The 25,678-nt window shown below is 40.3% G+C and overlaps 1 protein-coding gene and 1 long non-coding RNA gene across 2 annotated transcripts in view; one reads left to right on the top strand and one right to left on the bottom strand.

Annotated features, from left to right (window-relative positions):
* XPNPEP3 (X-prolyl aminopeptidase 3) overlaps window positions 1–25,678 on the bottom strand; it is a 75,668-nt gene that overhangs the window by 39,185 nt on the left and 10,805 nt on the right. Inside the window, exons 2-4 of the mRNA NM_022098.4 lie at window positions 24,516–24,632; window positions 11,454–11,861; window positions 7,116–7,318 (exon numbers count right to left, since the gene is read on the bottom strand). Of these exons, the coding sequence (NP_071381.1) occupies window positions 7,116–7,318; window positions 11,454–11,861; window positions 24,516–24,632 (728 nt within the window). The remainder of the gene's footprint in view (window positions 1–7,115; window positions 7,319–11,453; window positions 11,862–24,515; window positions 24,633–25,678) is intronic.
* LOC124905124 (uncharacterized) lies at window positions 16,036–18,284 on the top strand. Its single transcript, XR_007068111.1, has 3 exons — window positions 16,036–16,222; window positions 17,483–17,568; window positions 17,980–18,284. It is a non-coding gene; the product is annotated as an uncharacterized LOC124905124 (long non-coding RNA).

Raw genomic sequence — 25,678 nt, 5'->3', positions numbered from 1 at the left:
ACACAAAAAACAAAAAAGAAAAAGAAATGTGACAGCTATCCATGACTATGTGGAATAATACAAATAAGGCTATATCTTGATTCCTGTTTCACAGGATGCATCTTTTTTTTTTTTTTTTTTTTTTTGAGATAGAGTTTCACTCTTATTGCCCAGGCTGGAGTGCAATGGCGCTATCTCGGCTGACTGCAACCTCCACCTCCTGGGTTCAAAGATTCTCCTGCCTCAGCCTCCCGAGTAGCTGGGATTACAGGTATGTGCCACCATGCCCGGCTAATTTTGTATTTTAGTAGAGACTGGGTTTCTCCGTATTAGTCAGGCTGGTTTCAAACTCCCAACCTCAGGTGATCCGCCTGCCTCGGCCTCCCAAAGTGCTGGGATTACAGGCATAAGCGCCCGGCCAGATGTATCTATTAAAAAGGATCTGTGTTGGGAAAGCAACCTGTTTTGCATATTAATTATATTATGATATAATATTATAATATATAAATATATAATATACAATATATAATATATATTTATATATATTTATATATAAACTAAATATATAATATAAATAATATTTCAAATTTAGCCAGTTAAATTTGAAAATCAATGGATAATAATCTAACACATAAAACCATTAAGATAACGGTTTTACAAAGGTTACCAGAATATGATGACAGAATGCTGTCTCATGCCATGTTCCATCTGTTATAATATGTGTAAAAAGAGCTATTTGCATTGTTATTGTGGGTAAATAGGCATAAGGAGGTGGAGAGAAAATTGGGACACTTGGCTCAGTGACAAAAATAAATAACAAGGTATAACTTGGTGGGCCCTATATTCCTGAGAATTCAAAATTCAATGTGGATGATTCTGGAAAGTACATTGAAATGAGTCTATTTAGGTGTGACTACCACTCATATGACGTAAGCCTGGGGGACTCAATATTTTGGGGTCCCAAATTTATTTTCTAGTTGTAGTAAAGCAGTTGTACAAATGAAACAGTTGTACAAATAGTTGTACTAACATTTAATGGCGACAACATGTCATGTTCCCACACTCAAAATAAGAGAGCCTTAGTGGAATTAGGAGCCAGGCTAGGAGCAACTGGCCAGGTGGATTTGTTTTTAATGAGGAAAGACATACTGATGAAATAGATTTGCCAGCCAGGCGTGGTGGCTCACACCTGTAATCCCAGCACTTTGGGAGGCCGAGGCGGGCAGATCACCAGGTCAAGAGATTGAGACCATCCTGGCCAACATGGTGAAACCCCGTCTCTACTAAAAATACAAAAACGTTAGCTGGGCCTGGTAGTGCACGCCTGTAGTCCCAGCTATTTGGGAGGCTGAGGCAGAAGAATCCCTTGAACCTGGGAGGCGGAGGTTGCAGTGAGCCGAGACTGTGCCACTGCTCTCCAGCCTGGTGACACAGCGATTCCGTCTCAAAAAGAAAAAAAAAAGAAAAGAAATACATTTGCCAATGCCAAGAGTGTGCCTTGAAGGCATCCTATTTCAGGAATAAGAACAAAAGTGGCAAGCTGTTTGAAATGATAGACAGTGCTATCAAAATGGGTCTTAACAATTTACAGCATGCACTATGACAGCATGCCCAAAGCAACCCAACAAAAGGAATAAGCTTGCATGTTAACACAAGCTGCATTACAGATATCTTAATTTAAATGGAGTCCAAGGTATCCCAAGCACGACTGCCAGTGATTCCCACAGCAGAAACCCACGTTGTGCATGCATGGGAGACTCATGGAACCTCTGGTCTATGGAAATTCTAACTAAAGGATGCAACCTGTTGAGGTGCTTTTTAACAGCTCCAACAATGCAACTGAGTGCCAAGCATTCTTTTCCTGTAGTGCAGTTTGTGGATCCTGGACAAACTTTAAACAGGACTAGTGTTTTCTGTGGTAGATAAATGAGTTCTGTTGCAGGATCCTTCTCATTGAGAATGAACATCTGTCAAACCTTGTAACCTTTTTTTTTTTTTTGAGATGGAGTCTCACTCTGTCACCCAGGCTGGAGTGCAGTGGTGCGATCTCTGCTCACTGCAACCTCTGCCTCCCAGGTTCGAGCGATTCCCCTGCCTCAGCCTCCCAAGTAGCTGGGACTACAGGCGCCCGCCACCACGCCCAGCTAATTTTTGTATTTTTAGTAGAGACGGGGTTTCACCATATAGGCCAGGCTGGTCTCGAACTCCTGACCTTGTGATCCGCCCGCCTCGGCTTCCCAAAGTGCTGGGATTACAGGTGTGAGCCACCACGCCCAGCTAAACCATGTAACTTTTTGAGGAAGGGTCTCTGTCACCCATGCCAGAGTGCAGTGGCATGATCGTGGCTTACTGAAGCCTTGACTTCCTGGGCTCAAGTGATCTTCCCATGTCAGCCTCCCAAGTAGCTGGGACTACAGGCATGTGCCACCACATGCAGCTAATTAAAAACTTTTTTTTTTTTTTTTTTTTTTTGTAGAAATGGGGTCTTACTATGAGGCCTAGGTTGGTTTCAAACTCCTGGGCTCAAGTGATCCACCCGTCTTGGGCTCCCGAAGTGCTGGGATTACAGGTATGAGTCACCACATCTGGCCAAATCATGTAACTTTTTGAGAAGGAAATCTGGCTGTTTTCAAGATGTTTTGAATTTTGAAAGAGCAGAGATATGACCTCTGATTTAGACTCCTATGAGAAATAATATACAGTATATGAGAAGAGGTAAATTGCATAGGGAGGGACAAAATAATTACACCACGATTTTGTCTTCTATTTCTTTATTTCTTTATTGAGACAGGGTCTCACTCTGTCACCCAGACTGGAGTGCAGTGGTGCAATCTCAGCTCACTGCAGCCTCGACCTCCCTGGGCTCATGTGATCCTCCCATTTTGGCCTCCTGAGTAGCTGGGACTACAGGTGCGTACCACCATGCCCAGCTAATTTTTTTATATTTTGCAGAGACAGGGTTTCACCATGTTGCCCAGGCTGGGCTTGAACTCCTGGGCTCAAGTGATCTGCCCACCTTGGCCTCCCAAAGTGTTGGGATTATAGGCGTGAGCCACTGCATCCAGCCATCTTATTTGTTAATTTTATTTTTTAAAATTTTATTATTCTTTTTTGAGATGTGGTCTCACTCTGTTGCCCAGGCTGGAGTGCAGTGGCACGATCACATCTCATCGCAGCTTCAACTGCCCCAGCTCAAGTGATCGTCCTACCTCAGCCTCCCAAGCAGTTGGGACCACCACACTTGGCTATTTTAAAAAAATTTTTGTAGAGATGGGGGGGTCTCTCCATGTTGCCCAGGCTAGTCTTGAACTCCTAAGCTTAAGTGATTCTCCTGCCTCAGCCTCCCAAAGTGCTGGGATTACAGGTGTGAGCCACCACACCTGGCCTTAATTTTTATTTTAATGTAAGCCTTTAGCAGCTAAATTTTGTCTGACTTCTCACTTCAATGGTACTGCTATATGATGTAATATAGGGGTCAGGTAAAATTAATATTTTAGGAGCTTATAAAATTTAGTATAATACTGATGATGATGATCAAATACATTGAGAGACTGAATTAAAGTCCTGTTGGGATGTTATCCCTATGGAGGAGAATTGGCTTGATGAATATTTAGACTTGATTAATGATAGATTATTATTTTTAATAACTCAGCAGATATATACCATGAAGTGCAGAAAACTGTGGATCAAGGAGGCCAAAGGACTGTACAGTTCGTACAAAAACACAAGAAAGTGTAATTGGATAATTCAGCTGTCTGTTTAAATCAGTACCAACCCTTCACTGATCATTGTAAATGTTTGGATTCTGTGTATGCATTTTTTTAGAGACAGTGTTTGCTCTGTCACCAAGGCTGGAGTGCAGTGATGTGATAATACTTCACTGTAACCTTAAACTTTTGGGCTCAAGTGATCCTTCTGCCTCAGCCTCCAGAGTAGCTAGGACTACAGGCATATGCCACAATGCCTGGCTAATTAAAATATCTTTTTTTGTAGAGGTGAGGTCTTGCCATGTTGCCAGGCTGGTCTCTAACTCCTCGCTGCCTCACGTGATCCTCCCACCTTGGCCTCAGTGCTGAGATTATAGGGGTGAGCCACTATGCCCTGCTTGTCTATGTATTTTGATTATCTATATGATATTGAGAAGTGAAGTAACTGTTGTCAACTCAGGATTACTGTTTTATCAAAAAATAGAGTTAATGTTGGTTATGGGGGTAGAGTGAACTGTTGTGCTAATTCCAGGTTTAGAATTAGCCAGAGCTATTTTGCTAAAGTTCCTTCCTTGGTCAAGGTGTGGCAGGAAACATACTGACTGAAAGTGTTAAGAGGATGCTGGACATGTTGGCTCATGCCTGTGATCTTAGTGTTTTGGGAGGCTGAGGATGGAAGATCTCTTGAGGCCAGGAGTTCAACACCAGCCTGGATAATATAGTGACACCCCATCTCTACAAAAACCTAAAAACAGCCATGGTGGTATGTGCCTGTAATCCAAGCTACTCAGGAGGCTGAGGCAAGAGTATCCCCTAAGTCCAGGAATTCAAGGTTGCAGTAAGCTATGATCTCACCATGCACTCCAACCTGAGCAATAGCGAGACACTGTCTCAAAAAGAAAAAACAAAACAAAACAAAACAAAACAAAAAAAAAACCATTAGGAAGGCAGGAAGCACATAAAAAGATGCCCAACACCACTAATCATTAGGGAAATACAAATCCAAACCACAGTAAGATACCACTTCACACACATTAGGATTGGCTATTGCCACAAAAACAGAACAAATGTTGGTGTAGAGTGGAGAAATTGAAACCCTTGGTGCGTTGCTAGTGGGAATGTGAAACGGTGCAGCCACTATGGATAACAGTATGGTGGTCCTCAAAATATTAAACATAAAATTACCATTTGATCTAGCAACTCCAGTTGTGTGTATATACCAAATGGAATTAAAAGAGACTTGAACACAAGATATTTGTACACTTATGTTTACAGCAACATTATTCACAATAGTAAAAAAAAAAAAAAGATAGAAACCAAATGTTTATCAATGGATGAATAGACAAATAAAATATGGCATACGCATACAATGGAATATTATTCAGTCTTTAAAAAGAATGAAGCTGGGCATGGCAGCTCATACCTGTAATCCCAGCACTTTGGGAGGTCAAGGTGGGCGGACTGCTTGAGCTCAGGAGTTCGAGACTAGCCTGGACAACACTGAGAAACCCTGTCTCTACAAAAAATTTAAAAAATTAGCAGGCATAGTGGCATGCACCAATGGTCCCAGCTACTTGGGAGGCTAAGGTGGGAGGATCACTTGAACCCAGGAGGTCGAGACTGCAGTGAGCTGTGATCATGCTACTGCACTCTAGTCTGGGCAACAGAGCGAGACTCTATCTAAAAAACAAAAGTGAAATTCTAATGGAAGAAATTTAAAAACATTATGCTAAGTGAGATAAGCCAGTCACAAAAAGCCAAATGTTGTATGATTCCATTTATATGAAGTAGCTAGAATAGGTAGATTCACAGAGAAAGTAGAGGTTACTGGGGGCTGGAGGAGGGGAGAATGGGAAGTTATTATTTATCTGTACAGTTTCTATTTGGAATGATGGAGAAAGTCGGGAAAAAGTGGGCACAACAATGTGAATGTACTTAATGTCATTGATTTGCATACTTAAAAACGGTTAAAATGATATATTTTATGTTATGCACATTTCACCACAGTAAAAAGATTTTTTTAAATTAAGTCAATGGCCAACACCTTGGAGAGAATAAATGAAATAGGGAGTTTTGGGATAGTTTCTATCAGTTTGCCAGTGAGATTTATGGTTTACACTTGGTCTCTGTGAAAACTCTCGGGGGGCTTTACTGTTACGTAGCAGGAATATGATTATGTGACCAAAAAAACAAAAATCCCTAGCTGAGATTCCATTTTGGAGTCTCTGATTCTGAGGTAGTCTGTTGCATGTGCCATGGACTGAATTGTGTTTCCCGCAGAATTAATGTGTTAAAGCTCTAATCTCTATGTCTTTAGGAGGTAGTTAAGGTTAAATTAGGTAATTAAGGGTGGGGCTCTAATTTGATAGGACCATGGCCTTGTAAAAAGGCCCTCTTTCACTGTCATGTAAGGACACAGCAAGAAAGCCGCCTTCTGTAAGCCGGGAGAGCCCTCACCAGAAATGGACCATGATGGCACCTTGATCTCGGACTTCCAGACTGCAAAATTATGAGACAATACATTTCTCTTGTTTAAGCCATGCAGACTGTGATATTTTGTAATGGCAGCCTGAGCAGAGTATGACAACACTGGTGATTCCTAATCTGTAAGAGAAAGATACATCCTGCCTGGCCCTCACCTAGGGAGGACCAGAGAAGCCTGCACCTGGCTTCTCTAGACTCCTTGCTTTGAGACAGCCATTGGCTGTGATATATATCCTTACTTTCATATTATGGTTATTTTTTACCCTTTTCCTATAATAAACTGCAGATCTGTAAGCATTGTCACTTTGGGTCCTGAGTCTTTCTTAGAACCAAACTGTTTAACTGACACTATTAGTGTAACTATAAGGAAAAGAAACAGTATTAATTTCTGTCGTTCTAAGGAGAAATAATTAAGATTGATGGGTAAAAGAACCATCTTAACAGAAGGCAGATTTACTTTGTCTTGCAAGGTATTAAGCAAGTCTCTAGGTATGTTCACTACACACTGGAGCAGAAGCTAGATGCCATTCTGCGGTGAGGAGACTGCTGCATTGGGTATACGACCTCAAGAGCTTACGATTTTTCCAATCTGGAAAAAACTTTTTCTTTTTTTCTTGTTTTTTTTTTTTTTTTTGAGATGGAGTCTCGCTCTGTCGCCCAGGCTGGAGTGCAGTGGCCCGATCTCGGCTCACTGCAAGCTCTGCCTCCCGGGTTCACACCATTCTCCTGCCTCAGCCTACCGAGTAGCTGGGACTACAGGAGCCCGCCACCATGCCCGGCTAATTTTTTATGTTTTTTTAGTAGAGACGGGGTTTCACCATGTTAGCCAGGATGGTCTCGATCTCCTGACCTCATGATCCACCTGCCTCGGCCTCCCAAAGTGCTTGGATTACAGGCGTGAGCCACCGCGCCCGGCTGGAAAAAACTTTTCAATAGGAATCATACCTGTGATGTCAGCTTCCCAGCAATCTGCATTCGTTCAATTTCTGCAGGAGACTTGATCAGCCGGAGGCGCTGTATCAGCTGCTGAACACCCCGAACCTTGTTCTTGCTCTTGGCTTTGGCCTCAGTCAGGGGCTGCATATAGTCAGAGTGAAGCTGTGCATGTGAGGGCCTCATCCAGTCATACCAAACCATGTTCGTCTCAGCTTAGAATGAGAAGCCGAAAAATAAATTTAAAACAAAACTACCAGCAACAAGAAATATCAACTGTCATAACGACTTGAACAAGAGTCAAAACTATAAAACCTGTAACGTGGAACTCTAAAGTGTTGAGACTTAAGACTCTCTCAGGACTGAAGCAATAAAGGTTTGATTATAAATCATTAGAAAGGTCATTCCCTGGAAATGGCAAGATATTCTAAGACTGAATATACAGCTTTTCTGCCCCTAAACTTCAGTGTTCTTTATAAAGGATGATACGGGACTAAAGCTTTAGTCAAGCTTTGATTTTCTCTCTTTCTCTCTCTCTTTATTTTTGAGATGGAGTCTTGCTCTGTTGCCCAGGCTGGAGTGCAGTGGCACAATCTCAGCTCACTGCAACCTCCGCCTCCCAGGTTCAAACGATTCTTCTGCCTCAGCCTCCCAAGTAGCTGGGACTACAGGTGCCCGCCACCATGCCCAGCTAATTTTTGTATTTTCAGTAGAGATGAGGTTTCACCATATTGGTCAGGCTGGTCTCGAACTCCTGACTTGTGATCCACCCGCCTCAGTCTCCCAAAGTGCTGAGATTACAGGCGTGAATCACCATGCCCGGCCTTCATTATTAAACAATTAGAACAACTGTTCTTCACCACCACTTACTGAGCTAGAGGCACTTGTTGAATAATTGCACACAGAAGGACAGAAAAACATACTCAGATCATGACTTTATGGGTAAAGTGTCCCATCCTTTCACATAATGATCTCAGTACTAGAGGAAAGGGTTCTCCTCCCATTCTGGAGCAATTATTCATTGCTATGGAAAAACTACAGTTGATATTTCCTCACTTCTCCCTTTGCATCTGCTATACATTCTCTTTGTAAACAATCACAGTTCAGCTTTCAACTTTAGAGACCTAAGGAAATGGTCTGTATTTGCCTAAGATATACGATATAAAGGCTCATTATAAAAATGATTTGCACTTAATATCAGATCTACATTTGTTCTTTTTTTCTAACAGTAGGCTACAAACAGTATTCCTAACAATCCAAGTGAGAAGGTCTGAATATTTTATATGACTAAAAAGTACTTTGGGGAAAGTAGAGGGGAAAAAATCCAGAAAACTTTGATTGGATATGCACTGATTCTATGATTCTATGTCCTATGTGATTCTATGTCCTACATATTTTCATTTTTAAAATAAAAATGGTTCTAAATATATACTACATGGGAAACACCTTCCTACTTACGATAGATGGAAATTTAATTGTCGTGTAATTTTTTTTTTTTTTGAGACGTAGTCTTGCTCTGTCACCCAGGCTGGAGTGCAGTGGCGCGATCTCGGCTCACTGCAACCTCCACCTCCCTGGTTCAAGCAATTCCCCTGCCTCAACCTCCCAAGTAGCTGGGATTACAGGCGCATGCCACCACGTCCAGCTAATTTTTTCGTATTTTTAGTAGAGACGGGGTTTCACCATGTTGTCCAGACTGGTCTCGAACTCCTGATCTCAGGCAATCCACCTCCCTTGGCCTCCCGAAGTGCTGGGATTACAGGCGTGAGCCACTGCACCCGGCCAATTGTTGTAATTTTTAAAAAGTAAAACAATCTCTACTACACGTTCAAAGTGTATGAAATCATAGCTCACTTTTTTAAAGGTTTTTAAACCTTTCAATAAATATGATTTTAGCCAGGCACGGTGGCTCACGCCTGTAATCCCAGCACCCTGGGAGGCTGAGGGGGGTGGATCACCTGAGGTCAGGAGTTCGAGACCAGCCTGACTAACATGGTAAAACCTTGTCTCTACTAAAAAAAAACAGAAAAATTCCCCGGGCATGGTGGCGCGTGCCTGTAACCCCAGCTACACGGGAGGCTGAGGCAGGAGAATTACTTGAACCTGGGAGGCAGGAGTTGCAGTGAGCCGAGATGGTGCCATTGCACTCCAGCCTGGGCAAGAGCGAAATTCTGTTTCAAAAAAAAAAAAAAAGGAATGGTGACCGAGAAGTACTTTTGAGAAATTTATTTTACATGAGATTGTAACTATACTGAATTAATAAAACTTAGACAGTAGAACATGACAAGTAGCAACTAATGTAAGAAAAAAGCTAGAAAGAAAATGATTCTATGCCCCACATTTATGTGGATTTTGAAGACATAAGAAAGTTCAATGAATTGAACAGGCTAATTATCTATAAAATGGAAAACATTTCTATAAATAAAAAGAATTTAATCAAATGTATTAGAACTTACATATTCAAATGAGTATTTTCTTCCAAAAGAGGCTTTACAGGAAACAGTCTAATATATTTTATGATTGTGAAAAACATTTTTGGAATTCTCTTTTAGAAGCTAACTTCAGATATGATTTGTAACCCATGTAAGAAAAATCAAACAAAAACTTTATAATTATACATTATCTTGACCTAAAATCAGTATTTTTAAACTTGAGCATCTATCTTATTTTCCAAATAAGATACTTCAAAAAATAAAATACTTCCCAGAGCTAAAGTTTTTTAAGAATTACTAAAGATAGTTTATAATGTGGTGTAGGTTCTGAAAAAATTCCCAGAAGAAAAATCTCAAAACATTCGGATTGATTAAAATTTCACCAGAATAACTGTAGAGAAAGTAATTTCTTTGAGGGACAAGAACTCAACTATGGCCAGGCACGGTGCCTCACACCTGTAATCCCAGCACTTCAGGAGGCTGAGGTGGGAGGCTCACTTGAGGCCAGGAGTTCAAAACCAGCCTAGGCAACAAAGTGAAACTCCATCTCTACAAAAAAATAAAAAAAAATTAGCCAGACATAGTGGTGTGCCCAGGTAGTCCCAGTATTCTGGAGGCTGAGGCAGGAAGACTGCTTGAGCTTTGGGGTTCGAGGTTGCAGTGAGCCATGAGTGTGCCACTATACCTACATCCCAACCTGGGTGACAGAGTGAGACCCTGCCTAAAAAAAAACAAAAAAAGAACTCAACTGTATATGAACCACAAAAGATCTGTTAAAATGCAGATTCTGATTCAGTAGATAGGGGATGGAGGCCTGAGATTTTAATTTCTATTACATATTATGCATTTTTAATTTTAATATGCATTACCAGGTGATTCTGATGCTGTGATGCATGGATCGTTCTTGGAGAACAGTACCTCCTTTTGAAGAGCTGGCAAGAGCACTAAGATAAGAAGTAGTTGTCAAATATCAAGAAGCTGGTCAGTAATCTTGAAGAGTGGTCCATGCCCATCCTGTCCTTAATTTATTTATTTTTTGGAGATGGGGTCTCACTACGTTGTGCAGTCTGGACCTGAACTCCTGGCCTCAAGCGATCCTTCTACCTCAGCCTCTCCAGTAGCTGGACTACAGACGTACACCACTGTGTCTGGCTTATCCTTTGCTTTAAAAGAAAATTCTCTGTGAGATTTCAAACTAGGATAGGTAACAGTCTCCATTAATGAATAATCCAGTGAACATGGAGTTTTTTTTTAATTGAAATGTTCTAAAATTCATTGTGGTGATGGTTGCACAATTCTATGACTATACCAAAAACTCTTAAATTATATACTTTCATTTTATTATTTTTTTTGAGATGGAGTCTTGCTCTGTCGCCTAGGCTGGAGTGCAGTGGCGGGATCTTAGCTCACTGGCTCACTGTAACCTCCTGCAAATGAATAAATGAATCTTTTTTTTTTTTTAAGACAGTCTTGCTTTGTTGCCTAGGCTGGAATGCAGTGGCATGATCTCGGATCACTGCAACCTCCACCTCCCGGGCTCAAGTGATTCTCCTGCCTGAGCCACCTGAGTAGCTGGGATTACAGGCGCCTGCGACCATGCCTGGCTAATTTTTCTATTTTTAGTAGAGACGGGGTTTCGCCATGTTGGCCAGGTTGGTCTTGAACTCCTGGCCACAAGGAACCTGTCTGCCTCGGCCTCCCAAAGTGCTGGGATTACGGGCGTGAGCCAATGCACCAGGCATAAATGAAATCTTTAAAGAAGCTCAATCTTCTGAAAAAGACTTTACATTTCTTTCATGGTGCTCATGGTCTTTTCATGGTGGTGCTACGATAACAAAATTAAGGACTTGTCTAAACAGGCAAGAAAGGTTTTAATCCCAATCTGGTTTGTAATGTGACTTCTGCTCCCATTTGTTACCTTTCATTTTTGGTAGAAGATGTTGAAATTCTTCTAGCGTATAGGCTTCGTCTACTCCAGTTAGAGCTATTGCTCCATCAGTGCCAGATCGCGGACCATCCCAAAGTTCTCGACTGGGATCTCGCCGAGGCACAAAAAGTATGGCTTTGTGTGATGGTAATTGTTTGCCAGGGAGGCTCTGAAGGACAAGAATGCTATCAGGCTCTTGGAATCCACATAGGTACAGGAAATTGTTGTCTTGGTGGAAAGTATAGGGAATATCGTTGCTCATGTAGTATGTAGGGTTGGAGAGCACAACCACTGTCTGGTCTGTCCCACTCTGCCCTTGAGCTTCCTTCTGGATCAGAGACATTAGTTTGTGTCTGCGAAGTGCATATTCCACCTGAGATAGTCCTGGAGTTACCTCCCCTAGAAATGACAAATAAAAGGGATGCTTTACATTTCTGCAGTGCCAAAGTACTTAAGGTAGTTTAATATTAGATGGAAATACTCAAGTCCAATTGTTCAATTTATGCCAAATCTCCTCACAGCACATGGAGAATTAAGGAGATAACCAGGTTTCAAACTTGTATTCCACTGCAAAAATTTGGAAGAAATGATAGTTGAATGTGGCCCCGCCTGAAATCTGGAATCATGGACCCCTTAGATCTCTTCCAGGTCTTTGGCTCATTCTTTTACTCACTCAGTTATATTCATTGAATATAATTTTTTTTTTTTTTTTGAGACAGAGTTTCGCTCTTGTTGCCCAGGCTGGAGTGCAGTGGCATGATCTCGGCTCACTGAAACCTCTGCCTCTCAGGCTCAAGCAATTCTCCCACTTCAGCCTCCCGACTAGCTGAGGTGGTTCACGCCTGAAATCCCAGCACTTTGGGAGGCCAAGGCAGGCAGATCACCTGAGGTCAGGAGTTCAAGACCAGCCCGGCCAACATGGTAAAACCTCATCTCTACTAAAAAAAACACAAAAATTAGCCATGTGTGGTGGTGCATGCCTGTAATCCCAGCTACTCGGGAGCCTGAGGCAGGAGAATCGCTTGAACCTGGGAGGTGGAGGTTGCAGTGAGCCAAGATCCCGCCACTGCACTCCAGTCTACGCGACAAAGCAAGACTCCATCTCAAAATAATAATAATAAAGTATATAATTCAAGAGTTTTTGGTATGTCACATAATTGTGCAACCATCACCACAATGCATTTTAAAACATTTCAATAACAAAAAAAACCTCCATGTTTATGAGCAGTTACTCCCCATTTTCTCACAATCCTCCAGCCCCTGGCAACTCCTAATCTATTATCTGTCTCTATGGATTTGCCTACTGCAGAGATTTTATATAATGAAACTATACAATATAGGGCCTTTGCTGACTTGGCCAATGGTTTTTTTTTTTTTTTTTGAGAGGGAGTCTCGCTATCTCCCAGGCTGAAGTGCAGTGGCGCAATCTTGGCCTGCCTCAGCCTCCCAAAGTGCTGGGGTTACAGGTGTAAGCCATCGTGCCCGGCCCCCTCTTAATTTTAAAAAGGTAACAATTTCACTTCCTTATATACACACACTGTACAGTTGTAGATAAATGTAATACTGAATTATTTCAATAAATGTTTTTCCCTCTTTCCTTCATTGTTTGGCTCCTTATCCCTATTCCCTTCTCCTACTCACATCAACACCTTGCCCAGGTTTGTAATCTAGTATGTATCTTTTCTGAGTTTTCTCAACTCTCACAAAATCATACATACATGCATTTGGGGCTTTTTGGATCACTACTGTTTTACAAAATGGGACACTACACACTCTTTTTGGTATCTTCCTTTTCCAACAGAACAATATGTCATGGAATGCTTTTCCTTCAAGTCGTTTGGTATAGCTTCAATTCATTCTGCTTGATGCCTCCATGACATTTCTTGGGGTGAAGAGACCATAACTTATTCAGCCATTTCTATACTGTAGGAATTCAAACTGCTTTTCAGCTTTTTGCTGCTATAATAAATATCTTTGTACTTATATCTTAGTACTTTTATGTCCCATGTACTGGTGCTTTAATTATTATGGGGATAGTCCCAGGAGAAAAACGGCTTGGTCAAAGATCTTTGAATTTCCTTAGTACTCATGTTCAGTATATGATTACCTTAGATCTAATTTTTTTTTTTTTTTTTTTTTTGGGAGACAGAGTCCTGCTCTGTCACCCAGGCTGGAGAGCAGTGGCACGATCCTGGCCCATTAAAACTCTTACCTCCTGGGTTCAAGTGATTCTTGTGCCTCAGCCACCCAAATAGCTGGGATTACAGGCGTGAGCCACCAGGCCTGACTATTTTTGTATTTTTATTTATTTATTGCTACTATTTTTTGAGAAAGAGTCTTGCTCTGTCACCCAGGCTGGAGGGCAGTGGCGTGATCTCACCTCACTGCACCCTCCGACTTCCCGGTTCAAGCAATTCTCCTGCCTTAGCCTCTTGAATAGCTAGTATTACAGGTGTGTACCACACGGCCTGGCTAATTTTTGTATTTTCAGTAGAGACAAGATTTCACCATGTTGTCCAGGCTGGTTTCGAACTCCTGACCTCAAATGATCTGCCCGCCTAGTCCTCCCAAAGTGCTGGGATTACAGGCATGAGCCACCATGCCTGGCCTAATTTTTCTATTTTTAGTAGAGATGGGGTTTCACCATGTTGCCCAGGCTGGTCTCGAACTCCCGGCCTCAAGCAATCTGCCTGCCTCGGCCTCCCAAAGTGTTGGGTTTACAGGTGTGACCCATGTCCCATGGCCTAGGATCTAATTGTTTTACCTATATATAGTTTATCTCACCAGCAAATTCTGTAACTTGTATTCCATTAATAAAATATTTTTATTTAACTTTTCGGACATCTACAATAGAAACAAATTTATGTTTTTGTTGATGAAGTTGGCAAGAAATAAGAGAGAGTGATAAGTGGAGGCCTTACGGGCCAATGTGAAGCAGCTGAAGCAACAAAATGGGGCCAAGAAGAGCTCATATCACATTTTTTTCTTTCAAGATTGAGCTGGCTAAGAGTCTCCTAGGTTTCTTAGGCAGAATACTGAACTTTGTACTACAGCTATTTATTTCCTTGATAATTATTCATGTTAAGTCTGCCACTGTTACTCAACATTGAAAATTTCCTAATTTACTCAAGTAGTAAATACTCTTACAAAAGCAGAGGCTGGTTATAACTGATGAATTATCCGACCTTTCCTTTTTTTCATCTTATTTTCTTCCTTTCCTGAACTTTGCTTTTGGCTATTTCACAGCTATAGTCCATAAAATAAAAAGAAATTTAAAAATCAGCTGGGTGCAGTGGCTCACGCCTATAATCCTAGCACTTTGAGAGGCCGAGGCAGGCAGATCACCTGAGGTCAGGAGTTCAAGGCCAGTCTGGCTAACACGATGAAACCCTGTCTCTACTAAAAATACAAAAAATTAGCCAGGTATGGTGGCGCACACCTGTAGTCCCAGCTACTTGGGAGGGTGAGGCAGGAGAATTGCTTAAACCCAGGAGGCAGAGGTTGCAGTGAGCTGAGATCACACCACTACATTCCGGCCTGAGCGACAGAGTAAGATTCCGTCTCAAAAAAAAAAAAAGAAAGAAATTTAAAAATCAATTCTTTTTTATTTCAGAAGGTAAGAAAATCCATAATTTTAATAACTATGTGTTATCTCTCATTTTCATTAGTAACAGTATACATTAACACATATCAGGAAGTTACTTCTAAAACAAGAAAATTATTTGGAAATCAAAGCAGGATCAAAAAAACCATCTTTTATACCCTTCAAAGTATTCCTATGTTTGCTGAATCCAATTTCATACAATTGACTACATGAGAAATATTTAAAACACTGGCTATATTTTCCCAAACCTATTAATTATCAACACTATTGAGTGATCATTAAGTAAATGCTTCTAAACTTCTAAAATCTCAACGCAACAAAGCACTCTCCATCACAACACATTTTTTTTTTTTTTTTTGAGATAGAGCTTTGTTCTTGTTGCCCAGGCTGGAGTACAATGGCACAATCTCGGCTCACTGCAACCTCCGCCTCCCAGGTTCAAGCAATTCTCCTGCCCCAGGTTCCCAAGTAGCTGGGATTACAGGAATGTGCCACCACGCCCGGCTAATTTTGTATTTTTAGTACAGATGGGGTTTCACCATGTTGGTCAGGCTGGTCTTGAACTCCTGACCTCAGGTGATCCACCGGCCTCGGCCTCCCAAAATGCTGGGATTACAGGCGTGAGCCACTGTACCCAGAAACAAAAAATTTACTCAAGAAAAAAGAAACCTTTCCATGTGAAGGAGGAAAAAAAATGTGTTAAAGCAATGACCTTTAAACCCTAGGAGTAAACTTGGAAGGTGTTATGGCCTTTGATCACAGAACTCAACTTTATAGTCAATCTGGCCTGAATTTCTTCTGATAAAACTATATCTCAATAGATCCTCAGGCAACGTGGTAAAACTGTAAAGAATTAAAAAACAAAGTCAGCATTTTATGATGTGGAACCACTTAAGATGGAAAGGCTCTTCTAACAAGTTTATTGAGCCAATCGAAAGCCTAGATATTGGAAGCTGGACTCTGCAAAGTCTCACTATCAGTTCTGAGATTCTGCAGCCAAGAAGGAAAGCTCTTCCAGGACACTTAAGATCATGCCTCTCGAAGAGAAAAGCAATAATGTTCTTCATATTTTACCAGCTACACAAAACACCCAGAAAGGAAGATATAACAAAGACTGAAAATGGATGAAATGATACAGGTCTCTACTACAATCTAGGTTTGTATTTTTAATTATTTCCTGAAACTAACTAGATTAGAATTTTAACATGGTCTGATTTTGAAAAGAAGTCTGCTTAATATTAGGTAGTTTTCGCAGCATATAAGGAAGTAATTAATAAACTATTACTGTGCAGTTGGAGAATGGGGTGAAAGAAAAAGCTAGTGTTTCCTTTATAATGTAAAACAGGCCTCTCAGAAAAAATGCAATGACTGAATAAAAAATACTCTAAATAGATTTGCATATATTGAGCAAAACTAAACAAACAGAAAGGCTACATATACATATTATGATTCTGTATGATTCTACTTACACAAAGTCAAGAAAAGGCAAAACAGTCTATGATGACAGAAACCAAAAGAGTGGCTGCCTATGAAGGTGGAGACTGACTGGAGGAGCATGAGGGAACTTTCCAGGACGATGGAAATGTTCTGTATCTTGACTGAGCTGTAGGTTACCTTTGTTAAAGCTCACTGAACTGCATATGTAAGATCTGTGAAATTCGCTGCATATAAATTTTACCTGATTTAAAAAAAGTATACTACTCTCCAAACTTGAAATAACTTTTATACTAAGACTTCTCTCAGATGGATGTCTTATAAAAAATGTAAGGAGAAAATACTTTAAAAAATATTACCAGATAGTATTTTTTGGCATAGGTATTATACACTGTTTTGTGGTTGAAAGTGTGGATTCTGAGTTAGGTTTTTGTGAGTTGGAATCCTGGCTTAGCAATTCACTGAGTGACACAGGTATTATGTTTGGCATAGGTATTATGCACTGTTTTGTGGTTGAAAGTGTGGATTCTGAGTTAGGTTTTTGTGAGTTGGAATCCTGGCTTAGCAATTCACTAAGTTTGGAAAGAGCTACCAAACTTCTCTGTGCCTCAGTTTCCTCATGTAAAATGGAAATAACAATAGCACTGACTTCACAAAGTTGTTATGTGGATTATACAATAATCCACCTAAGTGGATTTAAGTAATAAAACACTTAAAACGTAACACTTAGCACTACATAAGTATTAGCTATAATTATTACCAAAATAAAAAATTTACACTTGAACTGGTTGTCACCCGGGAATCCAAAGCCAGGCAGGATCTTAGAAGAGTAAAATTTACATGGACAACCGCTATTATGACAACAAATGAAATCAAAATAATTATTTACATAGAAGACCTGGAAGTCTTTGGCTTTTTCACATGTTAGGAATGAATCTCCATTGACCATTTAGAAACTTTTCATTATTATTCATTTCTTTAGGTAGCTCCTAATTCTTGTCTAGGGCTGATTCTTGCTAATCTTTACCTCAGAGAGTTTCTCAGTGTCAATGAGGACTACACACAAAGGTAAAAAAGAGAAATACAAATGTCATTTATTTATTTATTTTTTGAGACAGAGTCTTGCTCTGTTGCCTAGGCTGGAGCACAGTGGCGCAATCTTAGCTCACTGCAACCTCTGACTCCTGGGTTCAAGTGATTCTCATGCCTCAGTCTCCTGAGTAGCTGGGATTACAAGCATGCACCACCATGCCTGGCTAATTTTTTTTTTTTTTTTTTTTAGTAGAGGTGGAGTTTGCTACGTTGGCCAGGCTGTTCTCAAACTCCACGCCTCAAGCAATCGGCCCACCTTGGCCTCCCAAAGTGCTGGGATTATAGGTGTGAGACACCGTGCCCAGCCAAGTCATTTATTTTTAATTTTCTAGTATTTATACTACATGAAAACTTTATTATATTTCAAGATTTTCTATTTCTCCCTAGGGCTTAAAAACAAACAAACAAACAAACAGGGAAATCCTCTATAATTCTTCACTAGATGGTGGTTTACAGATTATTGGTATAATGGCATCCTGAAATGGTCTATCAATATGTACTAGACATGTAAGTAAAAAACAGGTTTATTCATCTATAAATTTATTTACATAGAGACTACATTATTTATTCTGCATTAAAATTGAATCAGGAGATGAAGACAAGAGGAAACATTTAATCACTATGAATACAGTGATTTAAAAAAATTATATAAGTAAGCCCTGGCAACAAAGTGAGATCCCATCTCTACAAAAATTTAAAAAATTAGCCAGGCATGGTGGCTTATGCCTGTAGTCCTAGCTACTTGGGAAACTGAAGTGGGAGGATCGCTTGGGAGGTCGAGACTGCAGTGAGATATGATCATGCCGCTGCAGTTTAGCCTGGGAGACAGAGCAAGACCCCATCTCAAAAAAAGCAAAAACAAAAACAAATAAAATTACATAGGTACATTGGGGTGAGAAAATAAAATATATTACTTTATAAAACAGGTGGGCTTCATGGTGAAGTACTTATAGAAAAAGTAGACCTTCAACTTAAATTTAAAACCTGTAGGATACAAAACTTTTAGTCTACTATTCTATCAGGTATAATCTATTAAAAAAGTGTTGAAATGGTTAGATAAATGTAACGTCATCACTTATTGATGGTGGTGATGATGATAAAGATGTGAATGAATTTAAGGACTGAGTGACTGGGGATGAGACTACAGAGGCATGTGGAAGGCACATTCTCTGCTTTAAAACATGACCAATGGCCACAGAACTGGCTTGTCCCCTTAAGTCATCAGGCATCTCATGCACCTAGCTAAATGAGTACCCACTAGGTTAGTGGTGTATGTGAGAAACGCCCGGGGAGCTCTTCAAAACACATGTTCCGGTTGGGTATGGTGGCTCATGCCTATAATTCCAGCACTTTGGGGGGCCAAGGTGGTAGAATTGCTTGAGTCCAGGAGTTCAAGACCAGCCTGGGCAACATAGTGAGACCTTATCTCTATAAAAAATATAAAAATTAGCTGGGCATGATGGTGCATGCCTGTAGTCCCAGCTATTCAGGAGGTTGAGACAGGAAGATTGTTTGACCCCCGGAGGTCAAGACTCCAGTGAGCCATGATCTCGGCACTGTACTCCAACCTTGGAAACAGAGTGAGACCCTGTCTCAAAAAAAACAAAAACAAAAACACATGTTCTAAGCCCTCCCTTTGAGATTCTCATTCAACAACTCTATTTATAGAGTCCTAGCACGTATGTATATTTTGAAAAAGCTTACCCAACAGTCTAGGCAGGTTCAAACCACTTCCAATTTCTGTTATTTCTTGATTCCTTTTAATTTTTTAAATTCTTCTGAGATAGGGTAACACTCTGTCACCCAGGCTAGAGTGCAGTGGCGCAATCATGGCTCACTACGGCCTTGACCTCCTGGTCTCAAGCATCATTTTATTTATTTTTTATTTTTCTTCCTAACTCCCCAAAGTTGTTATCAAGCATCATTTTAATCTTTTAAATAGTATAAAAATCTTACCACCACCAAAATAAGCTTTGTCTTTTAGATATTATTAAAATCAACCATATTTAACAAGTTTTAAAAATAAAATGCATCCCTTGCTCAAGAGACGGCTACAATTAAACTATCACTGAAAGATGGGCAGCTGATTTTGAAACTCTTAAGGGAAAAAGATTTGGGGATTATTATCTATAACCCACTCTAGAATCAATCATTTCATCATTTTAAATATTATATTCACTGTAACTGTACTGTCTCTGCCATTATATTTATTTATTTATTTTATTTCTATTTTATTTTATTTTTGAGACGGTCTTGCTCGGTTGCCTAGGCTGAAGTGGAGTGGCACAATCTCAGCTGACTGCAGCCTTGACTTCCCAGGCTCAAACAATCCTCCTACTTCAGCTTCCCAAAGTGCTGGGATTATAGGCGTAGCTAGGACTACAGACATCTGTCAACACACTCAGCTAATTTTGCTTACTTTTTTGCAGAGATAAGGTCTCACTACGTTGCCCAGGCCTCCCAAAGTGCTGGGATTATAGGCGTGAGCCACCGCACCTGGCTTCTGCCATTATAGTTGACGATAGAGATGAAACGGTAAATGGTGAAAGCATCGTCTTATATTTCATGCCACACAGTTGCATTCTGATTATTTCCCTAAAAATCTGTTTGCTGCTGTAGTTGAAAACCAAGAAGTGGGCCAGGCATGGTGGCTCACGCATGTAATCCCAGCACTTTGGGAGGCCAAGGCAGGCAGATCACAAGGTCAGGAGTTCAAAACCAGCCTGACCAATATGGTGAAACCCCCTCTCTACTAAAAATACAAAAATTAGCCAGGTGTGGTGGCGCACACGTGTAGTCCCAGCTACTCTGGAGGCTGAGGCAGGAGAATTGCTTGAATCTGGGAGGCGGAGGTTGCAGTGAGCCGGATCACGCCACTGCACTCCAGCCTGGGCGACAGAGCGAGACTCTGTCTCAAAAAAAAAAAAAAAAAAAAAAAAAGAAAAAGAAAAAGAAAAAGAAAACAACCATGAAGTGGTTCTACATATGTCAGACAAGTTATTCTGACAAGCCCAACTCCCTGAGTAGCCCTTTTTAAACCTAGCATTCCAAACTATACCACATATTCTAAAACTAATTTTAAGAATGTAAAAATTTTAGAAATAATGCTTCATTAGGAATTCCACTGATTCTTCCCGTTCATTCTCTGATATGTTTCAGTGTTTTTTTGAGATGAATGTCTTGCTGTCCTGCTAATGACAACATTACTCCTTTGGCAATAATCAGGGAACCATGGAAGCATCTTTCTTGTACAGATAATATAATATAATCTGTACAATCTGTAAATATCGCTGGGTGTGGTGGCTCACACCTGTAATCCCAGCACTTTGGGAGGCTGAGGCGGGTGGATCACCTGAGGTCAGGAGTTCGAGACTAGCCTGGCCAACATGGTGAAACCCCATTTCTACTAAAAATACAAAAATTAGCCGGATGTGGTAGCAGGCGCCTGTAATCCCAGCTACTTGGGAGGCTGAGGCAGCAGAACTGCTTTAACCCGGGAGGCAGAGGTTGCAGTGAGCAGAGATTGTGTCATTGCACTCCAGCCTGGGCGACAAGAGCGAAATTCCGTCTCAAAAAAAAAAAAAAGTAGACTCACAGTTCAGAATGCCACTTGCCTTCCTACATGGAATCATTTTCATGTCTGAGTGTCAAGTGTGAGACAAGGTAGTAATCAAAGAGACTGACCAACATTTTCCATCTCTACCGATACAGACCTTAGCACAGAGATGGCACTGTCATAAAAAGCAGAAATGGTCTACAGTGCTCAGATTTCTCTAAGGAAATGACAAGTTTTGAAAATCACTAGAACCTAGCCGTAAAATCACAGAACCTAGCACAGCCAGAACAGAATTTCTTTATTTCCTGTATCATCCTGCTAAATATTTTCCAAGCTATTGATGCTTCAGGAAACTTGGATAGGTAGGTATGGCAAAGAAAAATCTAGGAAAAATAGCTCCCAAGAATTCAGAGGAACTGGCCCAGTAATTTCACTTTTGTTTTTGTTTTTGAGACAAAGTCTCACTCTGTTGCCCAAGCTGGAGTGCAATGGCGTGATCTCAGCTCACTGCAACCTCTGCCTCCCAGGTTCAAGTGATTCTCCTGCCTCAGCCTCCTGAATAGCTGGGACTACAGGCATGCGCCACCATGCCCAGCTAATTTTTCTATTTTTAGTAGAGACGGGATTTCACTATGTTGGCCAGGCTGGTCTCGAACTCCTGACCTCGTGATCCATCCACCTCAGCCTCCCAAAGTGCTGGGATTACAGGTGTGAGCCACCGCGCCTGGCCCCAGTAATTTCACTTCTAAGAATTTAAGGAAATAATAGAGCAATATGCAAAGAATGTGTACACATGTACACTTATACACACATACACCTATGTAAGAAATAGGACTAAAAAGAAACATATACCAAAATCCTCTCAACAGTGGCTTTCTCTGAGTTGTGGGATTATTAGTAATTAAAAAAAAAATCTATGCTTACCTGTATTCTCTTTTTCTGTATGTATAGAACTTGCGTAATAATTAGGAAAGGCATTGAGATGTTTCCCAAAAGTATTAAGTACATACTGCCATGTATTAGAGAAATATGCAAAACATGAAACCTTTTGGAGAAACCAAGTGCACATTACATAATTTTATATCCTAAACTAACAAGCCAACTGCGTAAGAGACTTTTTTTGAGAGAGAGAGACACGGTCTCATTCTGTCACCCAAGATGGAGTGCAGAGGCATGATCACAGCTCACTGCATCCTTGACCTCCTGGGCTCATGCAATCCTCCCACCTGAGTCCCCCGAGTAGCTGAGACTATAGGCAGGAGCACTAATTTTTTTTATTTCTTATAGAGACAGGGTCTTGCTATGTTGCCTATGCTCGTCTCGAACTCCTAACCTCAAGTGATCCTCTCATCTTGTCTTTCCAAAGTGTTGGGATTATAGGCGTGAGCCACTGTACCTGGCCTAAGAGACTTTTTAAGTATTACATGCCTTTAAATTTTTTTTCCTTTTTTTTTGAGACAGAGTCTCCCTCTGTCCCCCAAGCTGGAGTGCAGTGGCACAATTCTGGCTCACTGCAACCTCCGCCTCCCAGATTCAGGTGATTCTCCTGCCTCAGCCTCCCCAGTAGCTGAGATTATAGGCATATGCCACCACACCCGGCTAATTTTTTTTTTGGGGGGTATTTTTAGTAGAGACAGGATTTCACCATATTGGTTAGGCTGGTCTCAAACTCCTGGCCTCAGGTGATCCACCCACCTTGGCCTCCCAAAGTTCTGGGATTACATGTATGAGCCACTGCGCCCGGCCCCTTTTAATTTTTCTTAAAAATTTACTCTGCTTCACCCTACAATCACTTTAACACTTCCACAAGTTTTGCATCTCTGGAAGGAGAAACACAAATGATTAATTCTTTTGATACTTTTGTCTGCAGAAAAATCTGTACCTAATGGTACATCTGATAGTTTGAGGTTTAAAATACTAATAATTCTGTTTTAAAATTCCATCTACTTCCATCCCTTCTCACTTACCCCAATGTCCAAAATCCCACGTCTAGGAGAGTAAAATTAGGACAGGCATCCCTTTTCCCCCAGATATTCACATACATATGTATGTGAACATATACGTGTACATATTTATTTACATTCACTTATACTTAACATGCACTTAAGGTATAGAGCAAAAAAATCTAGATACAGAGGCCATTATCTTGACAATATAATTACTAGGTTTAAGGCCTGGAAAATGCAGCTTACCATGTAAAAATATCTCACCACAAGAAATCAGTAATTTTCAAAGCTGGTAAAACTATCAATTCTACTTAAAAAAATAACTCGAGTCTACAGGTAGGTTGATAGGGTAGATAAATACTAAAATTAATACCAACTGGGTTGCTATTAAGCTTACCTTACAGCTTTGAAAAACTCTGATTTCTTGTGGGTTTCAGTGGTGAGCTGCATTTCCTTAGTTTCAGCCGACTTCCCAGCAGGAATTCGAGTCTGATGAAAAATCAGCAAAAGGAAGCCCTCACTGAGAAACATACTGGTATCATTCACTGAGTGGGGATAGTGAAAAAGGAACATATTTCTAAAGGTAAATTTCCATTAGTAATATATATGCTTATATGGCAAATACATATTTAATTTCTTATGGCAGAAAGAACAATTAATTTTCCTTGAAAACCTGATTGCTTTTTCTACAATGTGTTTGCTTTTACCCTACCTTCCTCTCTGAGATATTCATTAGTCATAGTTCACCCCTTAAGTGCAAGAAATCAAAACAAAAAACCTTTAGGTCTAAATTTGAGCAATAGTTATAAGACATCTTCTGGCAGCAACGCTGGGATCTTATAGCAGAAAAAAAAATTAGTAAAACAAACCTTTATCATTTTTTTGCATCACCTTTATCAACTGGGATACTACCTCTCAAATCTGTGACAAACAAATCTGGAAATCTTGCTTAATCTATATAGAAATAGGTTATAATTTTAAAGTAAATATTTGATAATTTCAAGAAAAAACATGTTTTCTAAAATGTCTTTAACACAGTAATTCACAATAGTATACAATTCTAAAAGCTGACTTAGAAATAGAACTTTGCTTTAAAAACATCCTGAAATACATACCTTTCATTAATTATTCTGAATTATAAGGTCTATCATATTTAAACCTTGTTCTAGACTAGTATTGTCAATAAAGCACCAGTACCCACATGTAGTTAAGCTTAAATTTAAATTAATTAAAATTAAATAAAATAAAAAGTTCAGCTCCTCAGCTGTACTAGCAACCTTATTAGTGTAAAATGGCCATGTGAGGTTAGTGGCTACCTTATGGAACAGCACAGATCCAGAGCTTACTGCAAGAAGTTCTATTGCATAGCATTGCTCTAGACAGAACCTAAATGGGGAGATAGCACAGTTAAAAGGCCTTACCTGGTCTGAGGAGGTGTGGGTGTGTAAAGGGGCTGGGCTGGCCTAAGTATCGGTTTGGAATCCTCCTTTCTGGGACAGGCTGAAGGGAGTACCTTCGCTGTGAACACAACATACATCCTGAATGAAGAATAAAGAGAATGAAATGAAACAATAGATCTAGAAAGTCTTCATGGTATAAATACACTTATCTCTAGCAGTTTAGATGCTTTAGAAAAATGCAAACTAATATTTCCTTCCTTCTCTCCTTCAATATTCATTTATTTTTTTTTTAAGACAGAGTCTCACTCTGTCACCCAGGCTGGAGTCAGTGGCATGATCTCGGCTCACTGCAACCTCCACCTCCTGGGTTCAAGTGATTCTCCTGCCTCAAGCCTCCTACATAGCTGGGATTACAGGTGCGTGCCACCATGTCTGGCTAATTTTTGTAGAGACGGGGTTTAATCCTGTTGGCCAGGCTGGTCTCGAACTCTTGACCTCAAGTGATCCGCCCACCTCGGCCTCCCAAAGTGTTGGGATTACAGGCATGAGCCACTGCACCTGGCCCTCCTTCAATATTTATATGGCCTTTGCTCTGTGTCAGACTCTGTGTTGGGCCTTAGGAAAACAGAAATGAGATCTTTACCCTCAGAGACATTTGTCTGCTATAATATTTTATACACATACACACACACACACACACACACACACGCACACATATATAATAAAGGTATGAATAAGGAGCTATGAAAACAGAAGAAAGGAACCAAAAAAGGCAGGGGAAGGATATCACAGAGGCAGTTTGAAAGGGTATCACAGAGATAGCATAAAGCTGTGTCCTAAAACTCAGGAAAAGATAATCAACATTTTTTATTGAGAATATGTTAAGCATGAGAAAATATGCACATGCTATCTCATTTAATCTTGGAATGTCAGAGCTAGATAAAATAATTTATGAAAAATGCTTAATCATAGAGTACAACAAATGTTAGTTATTAGCATTAATTAAAAAATTCTTTGCACATGATTGGAACATGCTCAAAGAAAGACACATGAATGACAAGGCTATATGCTGTGGTCTTTAAAGAATGCACAGTCTAGTGGAGGTGAGACAAAATAGAGCATTACAATATTAAATGGTGAATGCAACAGTGGATTCACACATAAGGAGTTTTGTTTGTTGGGTT

This window comes from Homo sapiens, chromosome 22, assembly GCF_000001405.40.
Source record: "Homo sapiens chromosome 22, GRCh38.p14 Primary Assembly".
In the NCBI taxonomy this organism is placed as follows: domain Eukaryota; kingdom Metazoa; phylum Chordata; class Mammalia; order Primates; family Hominidae; genus Homo; species Homo sapiens.
Note: the sequence above shows the minus strand (reverse complement) of the source record. Positions and strands in the feature narration are given on the sequence as shown.